This window comes from Homo sapiens, chromosome 16 (genome assembly GCF_000001405.40).
Source record: "Homo sapiens chromosome 16, GRCh38.p14 Primary Assembly".
In the NCBI taxonomy this organism is placed as follows: Eukaryota; Metazoa; Chordata; class Mammalia; order Primates; family Hominidae; genus Homo; species Homo sapiens.
Genome location: NC_000016.10, coordinates 57,257,209 through 57,278,006, shown reverse-complemented (window position 1 = coordinate 57,278,006; position 20,798 = coordinate 57,257,209). Strand labels below are relative to the sequence as shown.

General features: G+C 52.4%; 1 protein-coding gene across 1 annotated transcript in view, besides 11 other annotated features; it reads left to right on the top strand.

Annotated features, from left to right (window-relative positions):
- Positions 1-20,798, top strand: part of PLLP (plasmolipin) — a 28,576-nt gene that overhangs the window by 6,666 nt on the left and 1,112 nt on the right. Inside the window, exons 2-3 of the mRNA NM_015993.3 lie at positions 15,937-16,110; positions 19,423-19,545. Of these exons, the coding sequence (NP_057077.1) occupies positions 15,937-16,110; positions 19,423-19,545 (297 nt within the window). The remainder of the gene's footprint in view (positions 1-15,936; positions 16,111-19,422; positions 19,546-20,798) is intronic.
- Positions 1,036-1,330: a silencer, noted in NCBI's record as "tiled region #12895; K562 Repressive DNase matched - State 8:EnhW". NCBI's record gives its function as "represses a minimal TATA promoter and a strong SV40 promoter by Sharpr-MPRA in K562 cells {active_cell/tissue: K562}" and the evidence as "EXISTENCE:reporter gene assay evidence [ECO:0000049][PMID:27701403]".
- Positions 13,853-14,622: an enhancer, noted in NCBI's record as "H3K27ac-H3K4me1 hESC enhancer chr16:57297297-57298066 (GRCh37/hg19 assembly coordinates)". NCBI's record gives its function as "activates a minimal SCP1, AML or CMV promoter by ChIP-STARR-seq in naive H9 embryonic stem cells {active_cell/tissue: H9 hESC(naive)}" and the evidence as "EXISTENCE:reporter gene assay evidence [ECO:0000049][PMID:30033119]".
- Positions 13,853-15,393: a biological region, named in NCBI's record as "H3K27ac-H3K4me1 hESC enhancers GRCh37_chr16:57296526-57297296 and GRCh37_chr16:57297297-57298066".
- Positions 14,523-14,692: an enhancer, noted in NCBI's record as "experimental_43612 CRE fragment used in MPRA reporter constructs". NCBI's record gives its function as "activates a minimal promoter by MPRAs in K562 erythroleukemia cells, with activity observed for the non-introgressed 16:57297312 variant allele {active_cell/tissue: K562}" and the evidence as "EXISTENCE:reporter gene assay evidence [ECO:0000049][PMID:34662402]".
- Positions 14,623-15,393: an enhancer, noted in NCBI's record as "H3K27ac-H3K4me1 hESC enhancer chr16:57296526-57297296 (GRCh37/hg19 assembly coordinates)". NCBI's record gives its function as "activates a minimal SCP1, AML or CMV promoter by ChIP-STARR-seq in naive H9 embryonic stem cells {active_cell/tissue: H9 hESC(naive)}" and the evidence as "EXISTENCE:reporter gene assay evidence [ECO:0000049][PMID:30033119]".
- Positions 15,615-16,168: an enhancer, noted in NCBI's record as "H3K27ac hESC enhancer chr16:57295751-57296304 (GRCh37/hg19 assembly coordinates)". NCBI's record gives its function as "activates a minimal SCP1, AML or CMV promoter by ChIP-STARR-seq in naive H9 embryonic stem cells {active_cell/tissue: H9 hESC(naive)}" and the evidence as "EXISTENCE:reporter gene assay evidence [ECO:0000049][PMID:30033119]".
- Positions 16,169-16,724: an enhancer, noted in NCBI's record as "H3K27ac-H3K4me1 hESC enhancer chr16:57295195-57295750 (GRCh37/hg19 assembly coordinates)". NCBI's record gives its function as "activates a minimal SCP1, AML or CMV promoter by ChIP-STARR-seq in naive H9 embryonic stem cells {active_cell/tissue: H9 hESC(naive)}" and the evidence as "EXISTENCE:reporter gene assay evidence [ECO:0000049][PMID:30033119]".
- Positions 17,136-17,195: an enhancer, noted in NCBI's record as "active region_10887". NCBI's record gives its function as "activates an Ori minimal core promoter by ATAC-STARR-seq in GM12878 lymphoblastoid cells {active_cell/tissue: GM12878}" and the evidence as "EXISTENCE:reporter gene assay evidence [ECO:0000049][PMID:35858748]".
- Positions 17,206-17,345: an enhancer, noted in NCBI's record as "active region_10886". NCBI's record gives its function as "activates an Ori minimal core promoter by ATAC-STARR-seq in GM12878 lymphoblastoid cells {active_cell/tissue: GM12878}" and the evidence as "EXISTENCE:reporter gene assay evidence [ECO:0000049][PMID:35858748]".
- Positions 18,389-18,944: an enhancer, noted in NCBI's record as "H3K4me1 hESC enhancer chr16:57292975-57293530 (GRCh37/hg19 assembly coordinates)". NCBI's record gives its function as "activates a minimal SCP1, AML or CMV promoter by ChIP-STARR-seq in naive H9 embryonic stem cells {active_cell/tissue: H9 hESC(naive)}" and the evidence as "EXISTENCE:reporter gene assay evidence [ECO:0000049][PMID:30033119]".
- Positions 19,557-19,769: a silencer, noted in NCBI's record as "fragment chr16:57292150-57292362 (GRCh37/hg19 assembly coordinates)". NCBI's record gives its function as "represses an EF-1alpha promoter that drives an FKBP-Casp9 reporter gene in an ReSE screen in K562 erythroleukemia cells {active_cell/tissue: K562}" and the evidence as "EXISTENCE:reporter gene assay evidence [ECO:0000049][PMID:32094911]".

The following is a 20,798-nucleotide window of genomic DNA, read 5'->3' as shown; positions in this document are numbered from 1 at the left end:
AACCCGTAGTGTCCCGGCAGCCTCTGCTCATTTAGCTGTTTCTCTACTGATGGAATTGTTTTATTCTTTGAAAAAAAAATTACAGAGACATAATACAAAGCACTCAAATAGTAGAAAGGGTAATCAAGAAAATGTAATCTCTCTCATCCCTGACTGACCACGCCCCACAGCTGCCCTCACCCCAGGCAACCACATGCCTTGTGTCTCATTCCAGGGTGAGTGGATGCATATTTCTACATAAAACCCACATCCTCACTTAACCACAGATAGGTGCTGTCTGGGCATGTGCCAAGCCATGCTTTTCCCCAGGGCAATACACCTAGGGATATTCTGTATCAGTGCACAGCAAGCTGTGTCCATCTTTTTCATACCTTTATTACCTAATTTCTTTTTCTTTATTTTTATTTTGTTTGTTTGAGGCAGAGTCTTGCTCTGTCACCCAGGCTGGAGTGCAGTGACGTGACCTCAGCTCACTGCAACCTCTGCCTCCCAAGTTCAAGTGATTCTCCTGCCTCAGCCTCTTAAGTAGCTGGGATTACAGGCACGCACCACCATGGCCTGACTAATTTTTGTATTTTTAGTGGAGACAGGGTTTCACCATGTTGATCAGGCTGGTCTCAAACTCCTGACCTCAGGTGATCCGCCCGCCTCGGCCTCCCAGAGTGCTGGGATTACAGGCGTGAGCCACCGCACCCGGCCCCTAATTTCTTTAATAGGTAATGTATTTACAATGCTCAAGAATAAAATAGACAGGGAAGGAGTACAGTGAAAAATCTCTGTTCCCTTTTGGTTAAAGTTGACTCCTTCATGCCCACTCTCAGTTTTCTATATCCCATTTTAAGACTTTCTTTAAGGAGACCTATGCAAATGTGGCTCTAGATTCCTCTCTCTCCCAGTTTATATAGTCTCCCCAAGATATATAGTCTAGCCACATCCTTCTGCACTTTTTCTTTTACACTTAAAAAATGAATCTTGGGGGTCCTTTTGTCTCAGTGTGTGGAGTGCAATTGCTTCTTTCTTTATGGCTTCTATAGTATTCCACCATGCAGCTGTGGTGTGACTGTGTGGTCAGTCCCTTTGTTGACAGACACTTCGGGTTTTCTATTCCTTTGCTGTTGCGCACCCTGCTGCAAGAAATGCCACCAAGTGCATCTGTACGATATGTTTCCAGGAGTGGGACTACTGGGTGGGAGGATACATGCATTTGGGATTGTGATGTAGATTGCCAAATGCCTTCCGGAGAGGTCACACCCTTCCTGCCTGCAACAGCATGCCTCCTGGAAGGTTCCTGTTCCCACAGCCTCCCAACATGGTGATTTAACACACTTCTGGATGTGCCCCAATCGAATAGACCAAAATGATAGGTCAATGTAGTGTTATTTTCATTTCTCTCTCTCTCTTTTTTTTTTTTTTTTGAGACAGAGTCTCACTCTGTCACCCAGCCTGGAGTGTAGTGGCATGATCTTGACTCACTGCAACCTCTGCCTCCTGGGTTCAAGCAATTCTCTGGCCTTAGACTCCCGAGTAGCTGGGATTACAGGCGCCCACCACCAAGCCCGGCTAATTTTTGTATTTTTAGTAGAGACGGGGTTTGGCCATGTTGGCCAAGCTGGTCTTGAACTCCTGACCTCAGGTGATCTGCCTGCTTCAGCCTTCCAAAGTGCTGGGATTATAGGCATGAGCCATGATGCCCAGCTAATTTTTATATTTTTAGTAGAGACAGGGTTTCACCATGTCGGCCAGACTGGCCTCGAACTCCTGACCTCAGATGATCTGCCTGCCTCAGCCTTCCAAAGTGCTGGGATTACAGGCATGAGCCACCAAACCTAGCCTATTTTCAGTCTCTTATCAGTGAGGTTGACCTTTTAAAAAATGTGTTTGGGTTGTTTGTTGGTTTTTGAGACAGGATCTCACTCTGTCACCCAGGCTGGAGTGGAGTGGCACGATCAGGAATCACTGCAACCTCCGCCTCCAGGGCTCAAGCCATCCTACCACCTCAGCCTGCCGAGTAGCTGGGACTACAGGTGCTCCTCACCATGCCCAGCTAATTTTTGGTAGAGACATGGTCTCACTATATTGCCCAGGCTGGTCTCGAACTCCTGGGCTCAAGCAGTACTCCTGCCTCGGCCTCCCAAAGTGCTGAAATTATAAATGCAAGGCGCGGCGCCAGGATCTAAAAGATGTTTAAGAGCCGTTTGTATTTCCTTGTCTGTTTGTATTCTTTGCTCATTCTACTGAGTGTGGTTGGTCTTTGCCTTAATAACTGCTAGGAGTTCTGGATTATTTGCAAATATTTCTTTCCTAATTTGTTTGTTTTGCTGGGTTTTTTTCCCCCTCTCATGGTGTTTTTTTTTTTTTTTTTTTTGCCTTGCAAAATTTTGTTGTAGTGTTTTTTTTTTTTTTGCTGAATTTCTTTATTTCATTCCTCTTCCTTTTTTCTTTCTGGGTTCTGGAAATTGAATCATAGTTCAGTCTTTTTCACTCCAGTTGTATCTGTCTGGAATGTATTAACATTGTTACATATTTGTTGTATTTAATTACCTTGTTAGCTTCTATTGTGACAGATAATACAGGTTTCCCACTTCCTAGTGATTTAAGTTTCCTTTTTAAAATTAGCTTATATATGTGATATATACAAGTTCATCAATGGGGACTAGTTTAGATAAATTATGATACATCTGTACAATGGTGCATGATGCAGTGAGTAAAAAGATATCCCCCCACCCCTCAAAGAAGACAATGCAACAGCTCTGTGTATAAGGATGGACAATCTCCAGGCTACCTATTTAAGTGAAAAAAGCAAGGTGCAAAATTGTAGCATGCTATCATTTGTGTGGAAGAAGTACACAGATACAAGACACACTTATCTGAAATGCATGTGTGTGTGTGTGTGTGTGTGTGTGTGTGTGTGTGAAGTCCCTGGAGACACACATAAGAAACCACTCTTGGCCGGGCGTGGTGGCTCACGCCTGAAACCCAGCACTTTGGGAGGCCGAGGCGGGCGGATCACGAGGTCAGGAGATTGAGACCATCCTGGCTAACACGGTGAAACCCCGTCTCTACTAAAAATACAAAAAATTAGCCGGGCATGGTGGCGGGCGCCTGTAGTCCCAGCTACTCGGGAGGCTGAGGCAGGAGAATGGTGTGAACCCGGGAGGCGGAGCTTGCAGTGAGACAAGATCGCATCACTGCACTCCAGCCTGGGTGACAGAGCAAGACTCCATCTCAAAAAAATAAACAATAAACTACTCTTGATCCAGGCACAGTGGCTCACACCTGTAATCCCAGCATTTTGGGAGGCCGAGGCAGGCAGATCGCCTGAGGTCAGGAGCTCGAGACCAGCCTGGCCAACATGGTGAGACCTCATCTCCACTAAAAAGACAAAAAATAGCCTGGCATGGTGGTGCGTACATGTAGTCCCAACTACTCGGGAGGCTGAGGCATGAGAATCGCTTGAACCCCGGAGGCAGAGGTTGCAGTGAGCCAAGATTGTGCAACTGCACTCCAGCCTGGGTGACAGAGCAAGATTCTGTCTCAAAACAAAAACAAAAACAAAACCACACTCTTGGTTGCCTCCAGAAGTTGAGTATCAAATGGAAGACAGGATGCTGAATATGCTATTTGGATACCTATCATGTCATATATATTACATCTTTCAAAGATAAGATAAAATCACATTTAAAACTTTGAAATAAATGAAAATATTGAGTAAAGAAAAAAATAGGGCCAGGTGTGGTGGCTCACACCTGTAATGCCAGCACTTTGGGAAGCTGAAGCAGGAGGATCACTTGAGCCTAGGAGTTCGAGACCAGCCTGGGCAACAGAGCTAGACCTTGTCTCTATACAAATTTAAAAATTAGCCAGGTATGGTTGTGTGCGCCTGTCCCAGCTCTTGGGAGGGTGAGGTGGGAGGATTGCTTGAGCCTAGGAGTTCAAGGCTGCAGTGAGCTGTCATCACGCCACTACAGTCCAGCCTGGGCAACAGAGTGAGACCCTATTGCCAAAAAAATAAAAAATAGTACACGTTCGTGGATATGGCAAAAGCTATGAAGGTGGCACTTGAATGTCCTCAGGCCCAGAGAGAGAAAGGCACTTTCCCCAGGATCACACAGCAGGGAGCAATAGCCTTGAGTTCAGTGTTATGGCTGAGGGACCTTGGGTGATTTTCCCAACCATCTATGAGTGGAAGGAGAACAGGGTACTGGGATAAAGTCTCCCAGGCTGTTGCTGTTGCTGTTGACCTGGCAGGGACAGGCATTGGTCACTCCTTATCAGCCAGTGAGTTGTTTGTGGCAGAATTCGGTGAGGACTAGGACCCTGATTTCCCATTCAGAGATTATCTGACAGATCCCCATGGCTGTTGTTTGCCCAGGTCTCCATGGTAATTGGGAACCTGGGTGGTGGGGGTGCTGTCTTTCTTGGCAGCCCAGTGGGCTGAGCCCTGATTGTGACAAAAGCCAGGCCCAGGCCCTTTGCTGTTGGGCTGGGTTGGTCTCTCCTGTTTGTCCAGTGGGGAGAGGCCAGGGTGGTACCCCAGGGTCTCACAGGGAGTTGCAGGCAGGGAGACAGGTCAAAGGTCAGTCAGGGCCCAAATCCTGAGCTGCTAGGGAACAGACACAGGCCTGTTCTGGGATGTTCTAGCTTTTATTTGGGGCTGGGGTCAGACACCAGATGAGCTTTTTCACATCTGCCACTCTGTGTGAGGGTGGCAGGATGGGAGCATTGCCCCCCCAACTTTTTTTTTTTTGAGATGGAGTCTTGCTCTGTCCCCCAGGCTGGAGTGCAGTGGCATGATCTCGGCTCACTGCAAGCTCCGCCTCCCGAGTTCACACCATTCACCTGCCTCAGCCTCCCCAGTAGCTGGGATTACAGGCACCTGCCACCGTGCCCGGCTAATTTTTTGTATTTTTTTAGTAGAGACGGGGTTTCACCATGTTAGCCAGGATGGTCTCGATCTCCTGACCTCATGATCCACCCGCCCGGCCTCCCAAAGTGCTGGGATTATAGGTGTGAGCCACCGCGCCTGGACCCCCACCCCCAACTTTTTTTTGAGACAGGGTCTCACTCTGTCACTCAGGCTGGAGTGCAGTAGTGTGATCATGGCTTACTGCAGCCTTGACCTCCTGGGCTCACATGATCCTCCCGCCTCAGCCTCCCAAGTAGCTGGGACCACAGGCATGCACCCCATGCCTGGCTAATTTTGTTTTTGTTTTTTTGTAGAGATGGGGATCTTGCTTATGTTGCCCAGGCTGGTCTCAAATTCCTGGGCTCAAGCGTTCCTCCTACCTTGGCCTCCCAAAGTGCTGGGATTGCAGGTATGAGCCACTGTGCTCTGCCAATGGGCCCCTCCTTGAAGTTGAGACAGACAAGTCTTGCTCAAGGTCACCCAGAACATCAGTGCCAGCATTGGGTGTAGAACCAGTGTTGCCGGAAGTCCAGGGAGAGAGGAAGACACTCACTTTAGCACCCCAATTCCTCCAGCAGGCCGAGGCCAGGGTGCACGGGACTGATGAGGCTCTATATACTTCCAACAGCAGCTGGTTCTTTCTCTGGAGGGGCCGATGGAAGGATGAGGTGGCCTTGGGGTGCTGAGACTATAAGCTTCTTGTTATCCCAGCTGCCTTGGGTTCGAGTTCTGCCACTGCCCCCTCTCAGCTCTGGCTTCAAGAGCAGTGATGCTCTCTTCAAATAAAGTAGTCTCCAGGGGAATGTCCCCACATCCTGGGTGACAGGGGAAGGGGAGCCTGGGCCACAGAACTATCCAGGTCCCAACCCTTACCAGGCATGACCTTGGTTCAGGTCCAGATCTTCCAAGAGCCTCGGTTTTCCTCATCAGTGGAATGGGTCAAGTGTTTCCCTTGAGAGGGTTGGGCCCAGAAGGAGGAAGGCCCTGGGGGTAAAGCCCTGGCGGGGGCCTGGCAGGGTAGTTGCGGGGGCAGGAGTTGGAGGGAATGAATGCAGGGCTCCACCTGGGACTTCACAAGGAGGGTAAGGCCTTCCTGGGAATGCTCTGTGTGGTTGGAGGGGCCTGGGTGCTGGGGAGGCTTGGGTAGGCTTTGTGGGGTAGGCCTAGGAGACCCTGGGAAGGAGGGAGGAAGCAGAGGAGGGGACTGGCAGGCAGGGAGCTCTGAGTTTCTGAGATCCCACCTGCGAGTGCTGCCACCTGCTCTGAGAGCCAGAGAGGGCCTTGGAGTGTCACTGAAGAGGCCCCTACCCGCCTTCACACACCTGGGGGCGGCCTGTGGAGGGAGGACCTGCTTGATCTGACCAGAGGGCAGGATGGGAACGGGGAGGGATTAAGTAGGGGTAGTTTCAGTTCAGGTTGGGAAGACTTTTCTTTTTTTTTTCTTTTTTTATTTTTGAGACAGAGTTTTGCTCTTATTGCCCAGGCTGGAGTGCAATGGTGCCATCTTGGCTCACTGTAACCTCTGCCTTCCAGGTTCAAGCAATTCTCTTGCCTCAGCCTCCCGAGTAGCTGGGATTACAGGTGCCCACCACCACGCCCAGCTAACTTTTTGTATTTTTATTAGAGGCGGGGTTTCACCATGTTGGCCAAGCTGGTCTGGAACGCCTGACCTCAGGTGATCCACCTGCCTTGACCTCCCAAAGTGCTGGAATTACAGGTGTGAGCCATCGTGCCCGGGTGGGAAGACTTTTCTAAAGCCCTAAGCGGGGACCTCACAGCAAGGATAAGGTGGTAGTGGCTCCTCACAGCAAGGATGAGGTGGTAGTGGCTCCTTGGCTGCAAGTACACGTGGGGGCTGCAGGACCTTGCTGGGGGTCCAGGGGCGGCTCAGCTCAGCCACTGGGGTAGGTGTGCTGCAACTTCTTCTGCGTTTGGCATTGAAATGCTCTCTGCTCTGAGACCCAGGACTCAGGAATAACAAGCGATACAATGAACGCCTTGGAGGAGGACCAGGTCTGAGCCCCCACCTCCAGCATCGTCCTCCTGCCATAGCCCCAGGAAGCAGGGTCCACGCGGGAGGTGGGGGTGGGGTGGCTGTGGCCTGGGGTGGCGACCCTCGCTGCCAAGCTCCCCACTGTGTTCCCAGGGCATAGAATAGCGCCTGGCACAGTTTGTTTAATGACTGAATGACTCCGTTTGGCAACTTACATGCCCATTTTTCCGACGAGAAAAGAGAGCTTAGGGCTATTCAGTACTGCCCAGGTCTAGTGGATCTGGGGCTGGGTTCCGAGTCTGCTGTCGCCTTCCTGGAGAGCGGGGATGACTCCAGGATCCTCGAATGCTGGAATGCATGGCATGGGAATTCCAAGGTGCCCTCCCTCTCACACAGTCAGGGGGTGGTGTGTGGCTGTGTCGTGGCCAGCTTAGGCGCCCGGAGCCTCTGTCCCCTGCCCCTTTGTCTCGTGTGATACAATGGGTGGCTTTTTGTCCCCATAAAGTCCCTTTCACTGTAGGGAGAAGGGCCAGAGCGGGGGTGGGGACCGAGCCTGGCCAGGCTGAGTTCTGAGTGTCCTTGGCTTGCCCAGATGTGTCCCCAGTGAGGGGGACCCCAGGAAGGGTTTGCTTTGCCATGCTGGGCGTGGTTTTCCTGGATGGAGCAGTGGGAATAGAGAGGCCGGAGCTGGGGAAGGACTCGGGGACCTGGGAAGCACTCAGGGGCCATGGATGGACTTGGGGGCAGGGGAAGGACTCGGGGGCTGTGGAAGGACTTGGGGGCTGTGGATGGACTCAGGGGCTGGGGAAGGACTCGGGGGCTGGAGATGGACTCGGGGGCTGGGGATGGACTCGGGGGCTGGGGAATGACTCAGGGGCCAGTAAAGGACTTGGGGGCTGGAAAAGGGGGTTGTGGATAGACTCGGGGACTGTGTTTGGACTCGGGGGCCATGGAAGGATTTGCTGCCTTGGCCCCTTTGGCCGTTACGTTGTTTCTAAAAACCTTTGGTTCAGTCACCCATGTTTAAAAAGCTGATTTTTGCCAGGTGCAGTGGCTCACGCCTGTAATGCCAGCACTGTGGGAGGCCAAGGCAGGTGGATCATCTGAGGTCAGGAGTTTGAGACCAGCCCGGGCAACATGGTGAAACCCTGTCTATACCAAAAATACAAAAATTAGCCGGGCATGGTGGTGGCACGCACCTGTAATCCCAGCTATTTGGGAGTCTGAGGCAGGAGAATGACTTGAACCCAGGAGGCAGAGGTTGCAGTGAGCCGAGATTGCGCCACTGCACTCCAGCCTGGGCAACAAAGCGAGACTCCATCAGATAAATAAATAAATAGCTGATTTCCATATAAAATCCAGACTTCTAGTGTCTCTTGAAAAATTAGAAACTTTGGTCACCCCAGGCCTGCATTCCCAGCAGCCACTCCAGAGACTCCCCGGCCCACTGTAGTCATTCCTGTGACCTGCCAGCCCTGGCAGCTGCTGAGCTTGAGCCCTGGTGTCCTCTAGGCCCCGGCTGCCTTCCTGCCTCGTGGCGTCCCTCTCTGGGATTTCCCTCCCCCAGCCCCGGACTGTCTCATAGCCTTCACGACTGCTCACGACTGCTATGGCTTTTAATGTTTTCTTTCACATGGTTTCATCTCCATGACACACCTGTGAGGTGAGCAGGTGTCCCCCTAGGGTCCCTGTACCCCAATTTCCTCACTTGCCAGATGAGGAAACAGACCAGAAAGGTTGGGTGACTCCCCCAAGGCCACACAGTGAGCCCACAAAGGTCTGATGCTGCCCCGGAAGTGAGGAGGGTGAAAAGAGTTGGGGTGACCATCTTTGCATGACAGCTCAGAGTCCATAGGGTTGGTCAAACCCCTCCCTTTGGGGCCCCTGGAGGAGGCCCATGTTCAGGAGTGTTGACCTCTGCGGGAAATCTCAGAGAACAGCAAGCCAAACCTCCCTGCTTCCATTGTGCCAGGGGGTGAAGGGGTCTGCCCAAGGCCCCTCAGCCTATGAGGAGCTGAGGGAGTGCAGCTCCAAGGGAGATCTGAGGGCTGGGCTGGATTTCTGGGGCCTCCTGTGGGAGCACCACCGCCTTATCTGTCAGGTGGGTGGGGCTGGCACTGACGTGGGTCCTTATCTCTGCCTGGGCTGTGCCTGGTGCTTGAATGTGGATACTGTCATTCTCTCAGTGAGGCCTCACCCTCCTGAGGAGCCTCACACACCGTGGCGAATGCAGGAAAGTAGGCCCAGGGCCTGACTTGAAAACCCATGTTCTTAACCCCTCAGGGTGATCATGACACCTGGCCATGTTGAATATTAAGCCTATGCTGGTTGCTGGTCTAAGTTCCTTGCTCAAAACTACCCTAGGGCCCAGGCAGGAGGATCAGTTAAGCCTAGGAGTTCTAGACTAGCCTGGGCAACATGGGGAGACCCCACCTCTACAAAAATTAAAAATAGCTAGGAGTGGTGGTGCATGTCTGTAGTCCCAGCTACTTGGGAGGCTGAGGTGGGAGGATCACTTGAGCCCAGGAGTTCGAGGCTGCAGTGAGCTGCAATAGTGCCATTGCACTCCAGCCTGGGTGACAAAGTGAGACCCTGTCTCAAAAACAAAACAAAACAAAACCACCCTAGGGGGTAGATACATTTCAAAGATGAAGGAAGATGAAGACAAGGGCACAGAGAGGCTAAGCCACTTGCCTGAGGTCACACAGCTAGTTAAGTTGGCAGGGCCAGAGCGTGAATTCAAGGAGTCGATAGGCCACCCCTCCAACAGAACCAATGCCAGTGTCACTCAGGTGAACAAGGTCATGACACCCATCCACAGATTCAGAGAGCAGCTGAGAAAAACCTATTCATTTCCTGGGGCTGCCGTAACAAAGTTCCACAAACTGGGTGGCAGAAATATATTGTCTCAGTTACTGAAATCAAAGTGTTGGCAGGGTTGCTTTCTTCTGGGGCTCTGAGGGAGAGTCTGTCCCATGTCCCCCTCCTGGCTTCTGGTGGTGACCAGCAAGCCTTGGTGTGCCTTGGCTTACAAATGCATCACTCTCGTCTCTGCCTCTGTCTTCACACGATGGTCTCCCCTTGTGGTCTCTGTGTCCACATTTCTCTTGCAAGGACACCAGTCATTGGATTAGAGATGCCCCCAATCCAGTATAACCCCCCTTAACTCGAGCATGTCTGCAAACACTATTTTCTTTTCTTTTCTTTCTTTCTTTCTTTTTTTTTTTTTTTTGAGACGGAGTTTCGCTCTTGTTGCCCAGGCTGGAGTGCAGTGGTGCGATCTCGGCTCACTGCAACCTCTGTCTCCTAGGTTCAAGCGATTCTCCTGCCTCTCCCAAGTAGCTGGGATTACAGGCACATGCCACCATGCCTGGCTAATTTTTTGTATTTTTAGTAGAGGCAGGGTTTCACCACGTTGGCCAGGCTGGTCTTGAACTCCTGACCTTAGGTGATCCACCTGCCTCAGCCTCCCAAAGTGCTGGGATTACAGGTATGATCCACCATGCCAGGCCTTGTTTTGTTTTGTTTTGTTTTGTTTCTGAGACAGAGTCCCACTCTGTCCCCCAGGCTGGAGTGCAGTGGTGCAATCTCAGTTCACTGCAACCTCTGCCTCCTGAGTTCAAAGTGATTCTTCTGCCTCAGCTTCCTGAGTAGCTGGGACTACAGACACCCACCACCATGCCCGGCTAATTTTTGTATTTTTACTGGAGATGGGTTTCTCCATATTGGCCAAGCTGGTCTTAAACTCCTGTCCTTAACTGATCATGCACCTCAGGCTCCCAAAGTGCTGGGAATACAGGTATGAGCCACTGCGCCTGGCCAGAGCCTGTTTTCAAATAAGGCCACATTCCCAGGTACTAGGGGTTAGAACTTGAACATATTTTGGGGAACACATTGCAAACCACAATAAGAGATGAGGAAAAACTTCCCTCAGAGTCAGTGAAGGGCATGCACCCTGCAGGAACCTGGCCTGTCTGGCTGTCAGTGTTGGCAGCTTCTGGGGAAACTGTAATAACAGGGTTTCACTGCAGCAAGGAGTGCCTCTTGGTTGGGCATTTGTGACGAATCTTCTCTCTGATGCCACAGGTGGTTTTAACAAAAACATCTCTTCGTTACCCAATTGTTTGGAAATTCTTTGAAGATGCAAAGGTCGTTTTTGACACTGTAGTCTTCATATGTAAAAAAAAGTTCCTAATCCAAATTATTCAGGTTTTCAGAAAAGCAAAAAAAAAAAAAAAAAAAAAGGCCCTGTGCCCTTGAGATTTCCAGACAGTTCCCTTTGTTTATCTGCAGGACCTGTCTGGGGAGGCATGGCAGGGACCTCAGAGAGCTGGGAAGGAGGGGAGGATGTGGTTTGCCTGTGTGTGTAGGAGAGAGACAGTTAGATATTCATGTAGACACCTCCAGAGAAACACGGGGACAGACGAACATGTAAGCAAGAGAGACCTGCAGGGCCCAGGGGTGAAGGCATAGAGTTCTGTTCTCAGATACCCACGTGGCACCCTCCCTGCCCCTCCCTCACCTCCCTGGGTCTTTGCTTATCATCACCTTGCCAGTGAGATCTTTCTTGGCCCCTTCTCCATAGACATTTGTTAAATATATTAACCCAGAGAGATGCCCACAGCGAGGCCTGTGTTGGGTGCCCTGTTCCGAGCAGGGTCTCTCTTGGGGGACTGGGCTGGGGGCTCAGGAACCAGGAGAAACCAGTCTGTCTGGTTCAAATGCAGGAACGAACCTTCCTTGTTCTAGGGCAGAAACCGAGGCAGCTCCGCAGGCACAGAGCCAGGCAGCACAGCCAGAAAGAACGCCAGAAATTCCCAGTCCTTATCCACCGGCTTCATCTGGACGCTGTGTTCGCTGATCTGGAAACCAGGGGTGGGGCTGGAGCACAGCACAGGGCGGGGCAGGGATGGCGGCGGGCAGTGGGGGGAGCCTGGGTGCCCAGCCCAGACTGGCTCCTAGAGCCAGCTGAAGTGTCCTCATTTTTTACACTTCACTAAATAACTCATAGTAGCGCAGGTTCCAAGGAAGCACGGATCTGGGTTCCTGTCCTTCCCTATCCTTTTAAAATTTTTATTTATTTTTTGAGACAGGGTCTCTGTCACCTAGGCTGGAGTGCAGTGGCGCCATCATGACTCACTGCAGCCTTGACTTCCCAGGCTCCATTGATCCTCCACCTCAGCTTCCCAAGTATCTGCGACCACAGGCACATGCTACTATGCCCAGCTAAATGTTATATTTTTGGTAGAGATGGGGTTTTCCATATTGTCCAGGCTGGTTTCGAACTCCTGAGCTCAAGTGATCCACCTGCCTCAGCCTCCCAAAGTGCTGGGATTACAGGTGTGAGCCACTGCACCCGGCCTCCTGCCCTGTCCTTTACCCACAGTGACCTCAGGCACATTGCCTCCTGAGATTCCCTTTGGAAGATGGGAATAACAGATAGAACATTTGAGGAGGGTCTGGTGATGGAGGAATCAATGAGATGTGTCTGGCACAGAGCGAGAAGGCATTGAGTGGTTATTGTGACCTAGGCTGTGAGTCATGGGACAGGTGATTGATAGGCATATGATAGTGGAAACCTGAATTGGTCTTTTCTTGATTTTTGGTTCATTGCATTTTCTGACTTTCCTTTAGTTAGTTGGAAGCTGGCAACACAGTGGCAGCGGAGGCCCATGAGGAATTGGCTTTAAATGAAAAAATAATTGTTTATCTTGGACGCACCCAGTTCTCACCTGGAGAAGGGACGGAGGCGTGCTGCCCGAAGTGTTTGTTCTCCTTCAGAACACTGGCCTCCCCCCAGCTCTGGGGGTTCGTGGCCTCTCCAGGTGTGTCTGTTTCTGGCAGGGTGTTGTTCTGAGACATCCTGCCCTGGGTCCACACTCGTAAGGGCTCTGCCCCCAGCTTGGTGTGTGACAGCGGGCAAGGCCCTGTGGCTCCGCCCTGGCTTCCTCACCTGCCTACCCTCACCTGGCCTGCTTGCGGCGGTGAGAGTGCTGACGGGCAGCAGAGGCTGGCAGGGTGCTGTGTGTTGGGGGGTGGATCCCTGGAGCTTCACCCCAGTGTGGGGAGGAGCAGGTGCTGAGCCCTGGAGAGCGGGACACCTTCCCTGGGCCTCCCACTTTGGGCTGAGCCCCTTACTTGGGTTGGGGGGAGGCAAGGCCAGGGGCAGTTCACAGATGGACACCTGCTTCTTATTAATTTATTTTGTTAATTTAATTTTAACTTTACTTAATTTTAATTTTATTTATTTTCGTTTATTTTGAGACAGGGTCTTGCTGTTGCTCAGGCTGGAGTACAGTGGCACAGTCATGGCTCACTGTAGCCTCAACCTCCCAGGTTCAAGCGATCCTCCCCACTCAGCCTCCCAAGTAGCTGGGACCACAGGTGCACCATCACCACACTCGGCTAATTTTTAAAGTATTTGGCAGAGATGGGCTCCCTGTATATTGCCCAGGATGGGGTCTTGAACGCCTGGGCTCAGGCAATCCTCCCACCTTGGCCTCCCCAAATGCTAGGATTACAGGCATAAGCCACCACGCCCAGCCCCACTGCTTCCTCTTTTAATACACGGTGCCTGTGCAGGGCAGGGTTCTGGTCTCTGTCATGGTTGAAGAAATAGGATTGTTAGTTCCTAAGCACATTGTGTATTTAGCGTATATTATGTGTCGGGCACTGTTGGGCACTGAAGATACAGCAGTGAACAAAACCCAGAATCTTCCTCGGAGAGCAGGGAAGGTACTCGGTCAGCATCACACAGCCACACAGCTTTTGACTTCCAAGCTCGAGGCCCCACCTGCCACTTCCCCACTGGGCCATACCCTTCCCAAGCCAGATCCCTGGGGGATGGGGAGTAGGCCGAGGAAGGAGGGTTGTGAGGGCTGAGGGCTCCCTGGGCCAGCTCAGCTACAGGCCCCCGAGTCTTGTCCCTGGCTTCTGTAGGGATCCACACAGGAGCTTCCCTTCTGGTCCTCGACGAGGTTGCTTTTGGATGGGGTGCCTGGCAGGCACCCCAGCTCTGTCTGTGCTCTAGGCCCAGGCCCTCAGGTGCTCTAGGGGCTGGCGGCAGCCCCTCAGCTGCTGGGAGCAGCCAGGACTTTCTGTCTCCAAACCCTAGCAGCCAGAGGCAGGTCCTGCTCCGGAGCCGCTTCTCTGATCCCACTGACTTGTCCTTGGGCTGGTGGCAAGGTCACTACGCAGCCTTGGTGCCATGTACCTGGGCGCTGACCAGGGGAAAAAGAGGACACCTCTGTGTGTCTTGATTGGCAATGGAGCCTTTCTCCAAAGCTAGACCCTCGTGTCCTCTCCGTGGCCAGGGATTCCAGAGAGTGCCCTCGTGGAGAAGGCGCTCTCCAGAGCATCTCCACCAGCAAGGGGTGGGTGGGGGTAGGAGGGGCTGGGGAGGCCCAGGATGGCCACATCCGAGGTGCCTCTGGGGGCCTCCACGAGCTCCCTGGGCCCTGCCTCAGCTGGCCCTTTGCTGGCCTGCACCCTGAGACAGTCTGCATAGTGAGTCGACAAACCTGCCGCAGAGAATTCTCTGTGGCTGTGAGGGCTGGGGCCTGTGCAGTCCAGTTCGGGCTTGTGGAATAATAAAAAAACACTTCTGCTGCAATCATTTATGTGCATGAACTTGTGGGTCCTCACAGTAGCTCTACAAGATAGGAATGGTCATTATATGATAAGCAAGGGTGGTTATACACTTGCCCACGGCCACACAGCCGGTAAGGAGAGCCGGGATCGAAGCCAGACAGCTGGGCTCCAGAGTTCATGCTGTTAGCCACTACCCATGCTCTGCTGGGATGGTCAGGCCCATCCTGCCGTGTGGGAACAGCCTGACAGGTAGGCCCCTTGGCTTCCTGGAGGCCCAGTTTCACCTGTGAGATGGCAACACCTGTATAGAAGGGCATCTGGGAGAGCCGGAGACGTGGGGTGTTGGGCAGGAGGTCACCCAGAGGCCCTTGTGACGTTCTCTGCTGGGCCCAGCTGGGAGGGAGGACACAGGGCTGTTGTCTTCCCGCCTCTGGGACTGTGGTGACTTGATCTTCCTTTCAGCAGCTTTTACTGAGCCCCTGGCAGGGCCTAGGGCCTGTGCTGGGTGTGGGGACGTAGCTGTGAGACAGCCACGGCTGTGCCCTCGTGGAGCTCGCAGTCTGGGGAAGGGAACGATTATGGCCCTGGATGGTGGGTGCCTGGGGGGCCCTGTGAGCACTGATGAGGGCTCTGGGATGCCGGCTGGAGGCGTGGGGGTGTCCTGGAGCACCTGACATCTCAGCTGAGACCTGCAAGAGGAGTGAGAGTGCAGGGCAGGGCCCCGGTACAGTGGTGTATCACACGAGCCAAGTCAGCATTCCTTTTTAAATTTTTTTCTATTTTTTGAGACAATTTCACTCTGTCTCTGAGGTTGGCATGCAGTGGCATGATCATAGCTCACTGCAGCTTTTAACTCCTGGGCCCATGTGATCCTCCTGCTTCAGCCTCATGAGTAGCTGGGACCACAGGTGCGCACCACCATACCTGGCTAACTATTATTATTATTATTATTATTTTTGCTTTTTGAGACGGATTTTCACTTTTGTCTCCCAGGCTGGAGTGCAGTGGCGTGATCTCAGCTCACTGCAACCTCTGCCTCCCAGATTCAAGCAATTCTCCTGCCTCAGCCTCCCAAGTAGCTGGGATTACAGGCACACGCCACCATGCCTGGCTAATTTTTGTATTTTTAGTGGAGACAGGGTTTCACCATGTTGGCCAGGCTGGTCTCGAACTCCTGACCTCAGGTGATCTGCCTACCTCAGCCTCCCAAAGTGCTGGGATTACAGACGTGAGCCACTGCGCCCGGCCTTAATTTTTCTGTAGAGATGGGGACTTGCTCTGTTGCCCAGGCTGGTCTTGAACTCCTGGCCTCCAGCGATTATTACACCTTGGGCTCCCAAAGTGCTGACATTACAGGCATGAGCCACTGTGCCTGGCCAGTATTTCTTAGCTAGATAAGAAATGAAACCGCATCTCTGGCCAATCCTGCCTTGTCTGACCCTCCTAGGTGCTGGGGCTGCTGGTGTGGGCGCTGATTGCGGACACCCCGTACCACCTGTATCCGGCCTATGGCTGGGTGATGTTCGTCGCTGTCTTCCTCTGGCTGGTGACAATCGTCCTCTTCAACCTCTACCTGTTTCAGCTGCACATGAAGTTGTACATGGTTCCCTGGCCACTGGTGGTGAGTCTGGGTGGGGGTACTGGAAGTGGCTATGACAGGACCACTGTGACTTTCCCTAGAAGAAGTGGCAGGGTGTGGGGGGGTGGCCTGACATCCTCACTGACCTAAGCTGATCTGCAGAGCCAGGGGTGGAGGTGAGGATTGATGGTTCAGAGGTCCAGTTTTTCTATTTTTCCTTCAAGACAGTGTCTCACTATGTGCAGGCTGGAGTGCAGTGGCTCAATAATGGCTCACTGCAGCCTTGAACCCCTGGGCTCATGTGATCCTCCCATCTCAGCCTCCCCAGTAGCTAGGACTACAGGCACGTGCCACCATGCCCTGCTAATTTTTATTTTTATTTTTTGTAGAAGAGGAGTCTCACTTTATTTCCCAGGCTGGTCTTGAACTCCTGGGCTCAAGCAGTTCTCTCACTTTGGCCTCCCAAAATTCTGGGAGTACAGGAGTGAGCCACCATGCCTAGGTGCACGGTTTTTTGGGGAACCATGAGCCAGGAAGGACACAGGCTTGACTTTGTCCCAGGAGGGGAGTAGAAGTGAGGGGCTGTTGAGTGGATTTGTAAGAGGCCATTTGGAATCTTAAAAATATTTTTCCCGGCCGGGTGTGGTGGCTCACGCCTGTAATCCCAGCACTTTGGGAGGCTGAGGTGAGTGGATCACCTGAGGTCAGGAGTTTGAGACCAGCCTGACCAATATGGTGAAACCCTGTCTCTACAAAAAATACAACAATTAGCAAAATACAACAATTAGCCAGGTGTGGTGGCGCGCGCCTCTAGTCCCAGCTACTTGGGAGGCTGAGACAGGAGAATTGCTTGAACCCAGGAGGCGGAGATTGCAGTGAGCCGAGATCACACCATTATACTCCAGCCTGGGTGACAGAGCAAGACTCCACCTCAAAAAAAAAATTTCCCTCTGGGGGTGGTCAGAATTTGTGCCTGTGTTGTGTGAGTTTGTGAGATTGTAGCTTGGCCCAGGTAGGCAGCCCTGTGGCTGGAGGCTGTGGCAAGCTGTCAGAAGTTGCCCAGGCCAGGGCCTCAAGTGTGCAGGACAAGCTCGGGCACCTGGCTGCCTGCAGGTGAGGCCCTGAGGCCTGGGAGAGGCTGGGCTCCCCAGGTTTGCCCCAGGACAGTCTCCCCAGGACACAGGGCTGAGAGCGGACATGGGAAGTACCCCGGCCAGACACACAGAAAGCTGCTGGTTTTTTTTTTCCTCTGACCCGGAAAACCCCTGCAGCTGGGGTCTGAGGCTTTCAGTGAGAAGAGAGGCGAGAAAGGCACATGATTGTAAGACAAGCAAGGCTGGGACTAGGCGGCATTGTTTGGAATTCAATGACTTTTTAAACCGAGGAAACGTGAGTCATCCTCAAGACAGAATGGGTTTGTTAGATCTCGACATCCCTGGCAGAAACAGGCAGCGTTTGCAGGGGTCGCTGGGCTTGCAGGGAAGATTTTGGGGCGAGGAGGCGGTGCCTTGACTTCCGGGCTCAGGGTCCACCCCCTCCCTCACGTCCCAGGGACCTCTAAGAGAGAAATCTCCAGAGATAAAAGCCTGTGTGTCTCTTAGGTGCAGATTTGGGGCTCCAGCCGTGGCTGTTAATGGAAGGAGGCTCCCTTCTGCCACAGTGGCAGGACATTGCTTCTTGTGCTTCTGGACCCTCAACGAATGGGGCAGAGAGGGCTTAACTGCATCTAGAGAAGGCTGGATTAGCATGGCCAATTTGGGATTTTCTGGCATGGGGGCTACAGACCCCTACAGGATCCAGGCAAGATATGTGAGTAAATTGGGTCAGGAGGGACCCTGGAGAAGCCAGCATCCATCTGCCCATCGCAAGCTGCCTCTATACTCACTTCATCTGTTCCTAGTGGGAATGCAGCCCCTTTGGAGCGAAATCTTTTGATATCCTAAGTTTTTTTTTTTTTTTTTTTAGACAAAGTCCCGCTCTGTTGCCCAGGCTGGAGTGCAGTGGCACGATCTTAGCTCATTGCAACCCCTGCCTCCCAGGTTCAAGTGATTCTTCCGCCTCAGCCTCCTGTGTAGCTGGGATTACCGGTGGGCACCATCACTCTTGGCTAATTTTTGTATTTTTATTGGAGACGAGGTTTCACCATGTTGGCCAGGCTGGTCTCTAACTTCTGACCTCAAGTGATCTGCCTGCCTCGGCATCCCAAAGTGCTGGGATTACAGGCATGAGCCACACTGCACCCGGCCAAGATTTTTTTAATATAAAATTTTTACATGAAGTCTTCAGGTTTTCATGAAATCTAATTTTATAATGTTGGTAATTTTTTAAAAGTATATTGGACGAACTGAATGAATGTTTGAGGACCAGGCGTTTGAAGACGGTGAATGGGCTCCTGGGGCCAAGCGTTTGGGATGAGGGACTGGTCCCTGGTTGTCAGCAGAGGGCCCCTTCCTGCCAGTCTGGTTCCATATCCAGCTTGAAATATCTGGTCCTCTTGGTCCTGACCCTGGCATTTGCTTAGAGCCTTGAGCTTAGGATGTGGCCAAGAGGGAGACAAAAATTCTTCCCCCTGAAGGCAGAGAGGGATGTGAGGCCCAGCCCAGGACTGGCCACAGAGCCAAACCTTGCAGTGGTACCAGGGATGGCCTGGGCTTGGCCCTGGACCACACTTGGAGGAGTAGCCTGTGTTTCTTTAGCTGGTACAAAGAGATGGGTCATGGATTGGGCTCTTTCTGTGAGGAATGGGTCTGGCACTGCCACTACCCCATCACTGAGGCCCTCCTGTCATTCCCCTCCTCCAGCCTCAGGTGTGTTCATGCTCCCTGCTCAGCAGGCCTCCTGGGGACCAGGGCCTCATGGGCTGACTCCCTGGAAACTGTGGCCTCTTGAGGCCCTGTTGGTGGGAAAGACCCAGGTGTTTGCATCACCATCCAATGGCTATTCAAGGAGTGTGCCAGTGGGAACCAAGAAGCCCCAACCGTTGGTCTTGTCTTTTTTTTTTTTTTTTTTTTTTTTTTTGAGACAGGATCTCACTGTGTCACCCAGGCTGGAGTGCAGTGGTGTGATCATGACTCACTGCAGCCTCAACCTCCCGGCTCCAGGTGATCTTCCCATCTCAGCCTCCCAAGTAGCTGAGATCACAGGCATGCGCCACCATGCCTGGCTAACTTTTTTATTTTTGTAGAGATGGGGCCTACCTATGTTCCCCAGGCTGGTCTCTAACTCCTGGGCTCAAGCGATCCTTCCACTTCAGCCCCGCAAAGTGCTGGGATTACAGGTGTGAACCACCGTGTCTGGCCTCTCTTTGTGTCTTAAGCCTTTTCTCTCCCCACTCCCTACCCCCATGTCCTGCAGTTAATGATCTTTAACATCAGCGCCACCGTTCTCTACATCACCGCCTTCATCGCCTGCTCTGCGGCAGTTGACCTGACATCCCTGAGGGGCACCCGGCCTTATAACCAGCGCGCGGCTGCCTCGGTGAGTCTGCTTCCCAGGCTCCCTTGGTGGTCTGCAGGGTCTCAGCCCCAGGACTCAGGCTGCTCGCTTGGTCTGAGGCCAGGCACCTGCCACCTCCTGAGGGGTTGTCACCTGAACACTCAGTGGGTCTTAGAGGGGAGCCGGGCCGCCTCCAGGCTTCCATAATTAACAGTGGAGAGTGGTGTGTGGTGGGCAATGGAAGTTTTGGGTTAACTATTTTTTCTTTTTTTTGAGATGGAATCTTGCTCTGTTGCCCAGGCTGGAGTGCGGTGACGTGATCTCAGCTCACTGCAACCTCTGCCTCTTGGGTTTAAGTGATTCTCCTGACTCAGCCTCCCAAGTAGCTGGGACTAGAGGTGTGTGCTGCCACACCCGCTAATTTTTTTGTATTTTGTATTTTTTTTGGAGATGGAGTCTCACGCCTGGCTAATTTTTGTATTTTTAGTAGAGACGGAGTTTCACCATGTTGGCCAGGCTGGTCTTTTGAACTCCTGACCTCAGGTGATCCACTCGCCTTGGCCTGTTAAAGTGCTGAGATTACAGGTGTGAGCTGCCACACGCGGCCTGGGCTGACTATTGAACCTTGTTGTAAATCAGCTGTGCCACACTGCCTTAGGGTCACGTGCCCCCTTGGAGAATGTGAAAAACATGCTCTCCCACTGACAAGTGCACGTGCAAAAACCTTTTGGTTTAAACCATTCTGGGAGATTCATAGGCTCTCCCATGAAACCCAAACTCTGGGCCCACGTCAGGTGGCCAGTGAAGTGGCAGTAGTCCCCTCCACGCCTGTCACCCTTCACACCACCAGGCCCTGCACACCATCTCCTCCCAGGATCCTGCGACACCCACAGTGAGGGAGAGGAAGGGACTACCAGTTCCTTTTGACAGACAGGAGGCTCCTGCTCAGAGAAGTTGGACGCCAGGCCTGGAGCCACGGCCAAGCCCAGGGGAGGGCAGGGCCTCAATGGGCACGCATTTGGTTCCTTACTCTTCCTGATGAGGGCAGTTTTGAAATCAGCAAATTCAGTGATGGGGACAGAGACGGGGAGCTTCTGAATGTGGCTGCAGGTGTTAGTATAGAGGCTTGAACTGGTTCTAGGAGATTCCTAGGGTGTCCTTTGAATGTTGTCTTTTTAGAACTAAATCCTTGCTAGGTGTCCCCTCTGTCACTCTTATCTTCTCCTTCATTGCCCTTATCACAATCTGACAGGCCCTGCCTGTGGTTCTTAGCTGTTTCCCATGGTTAGAAGGTA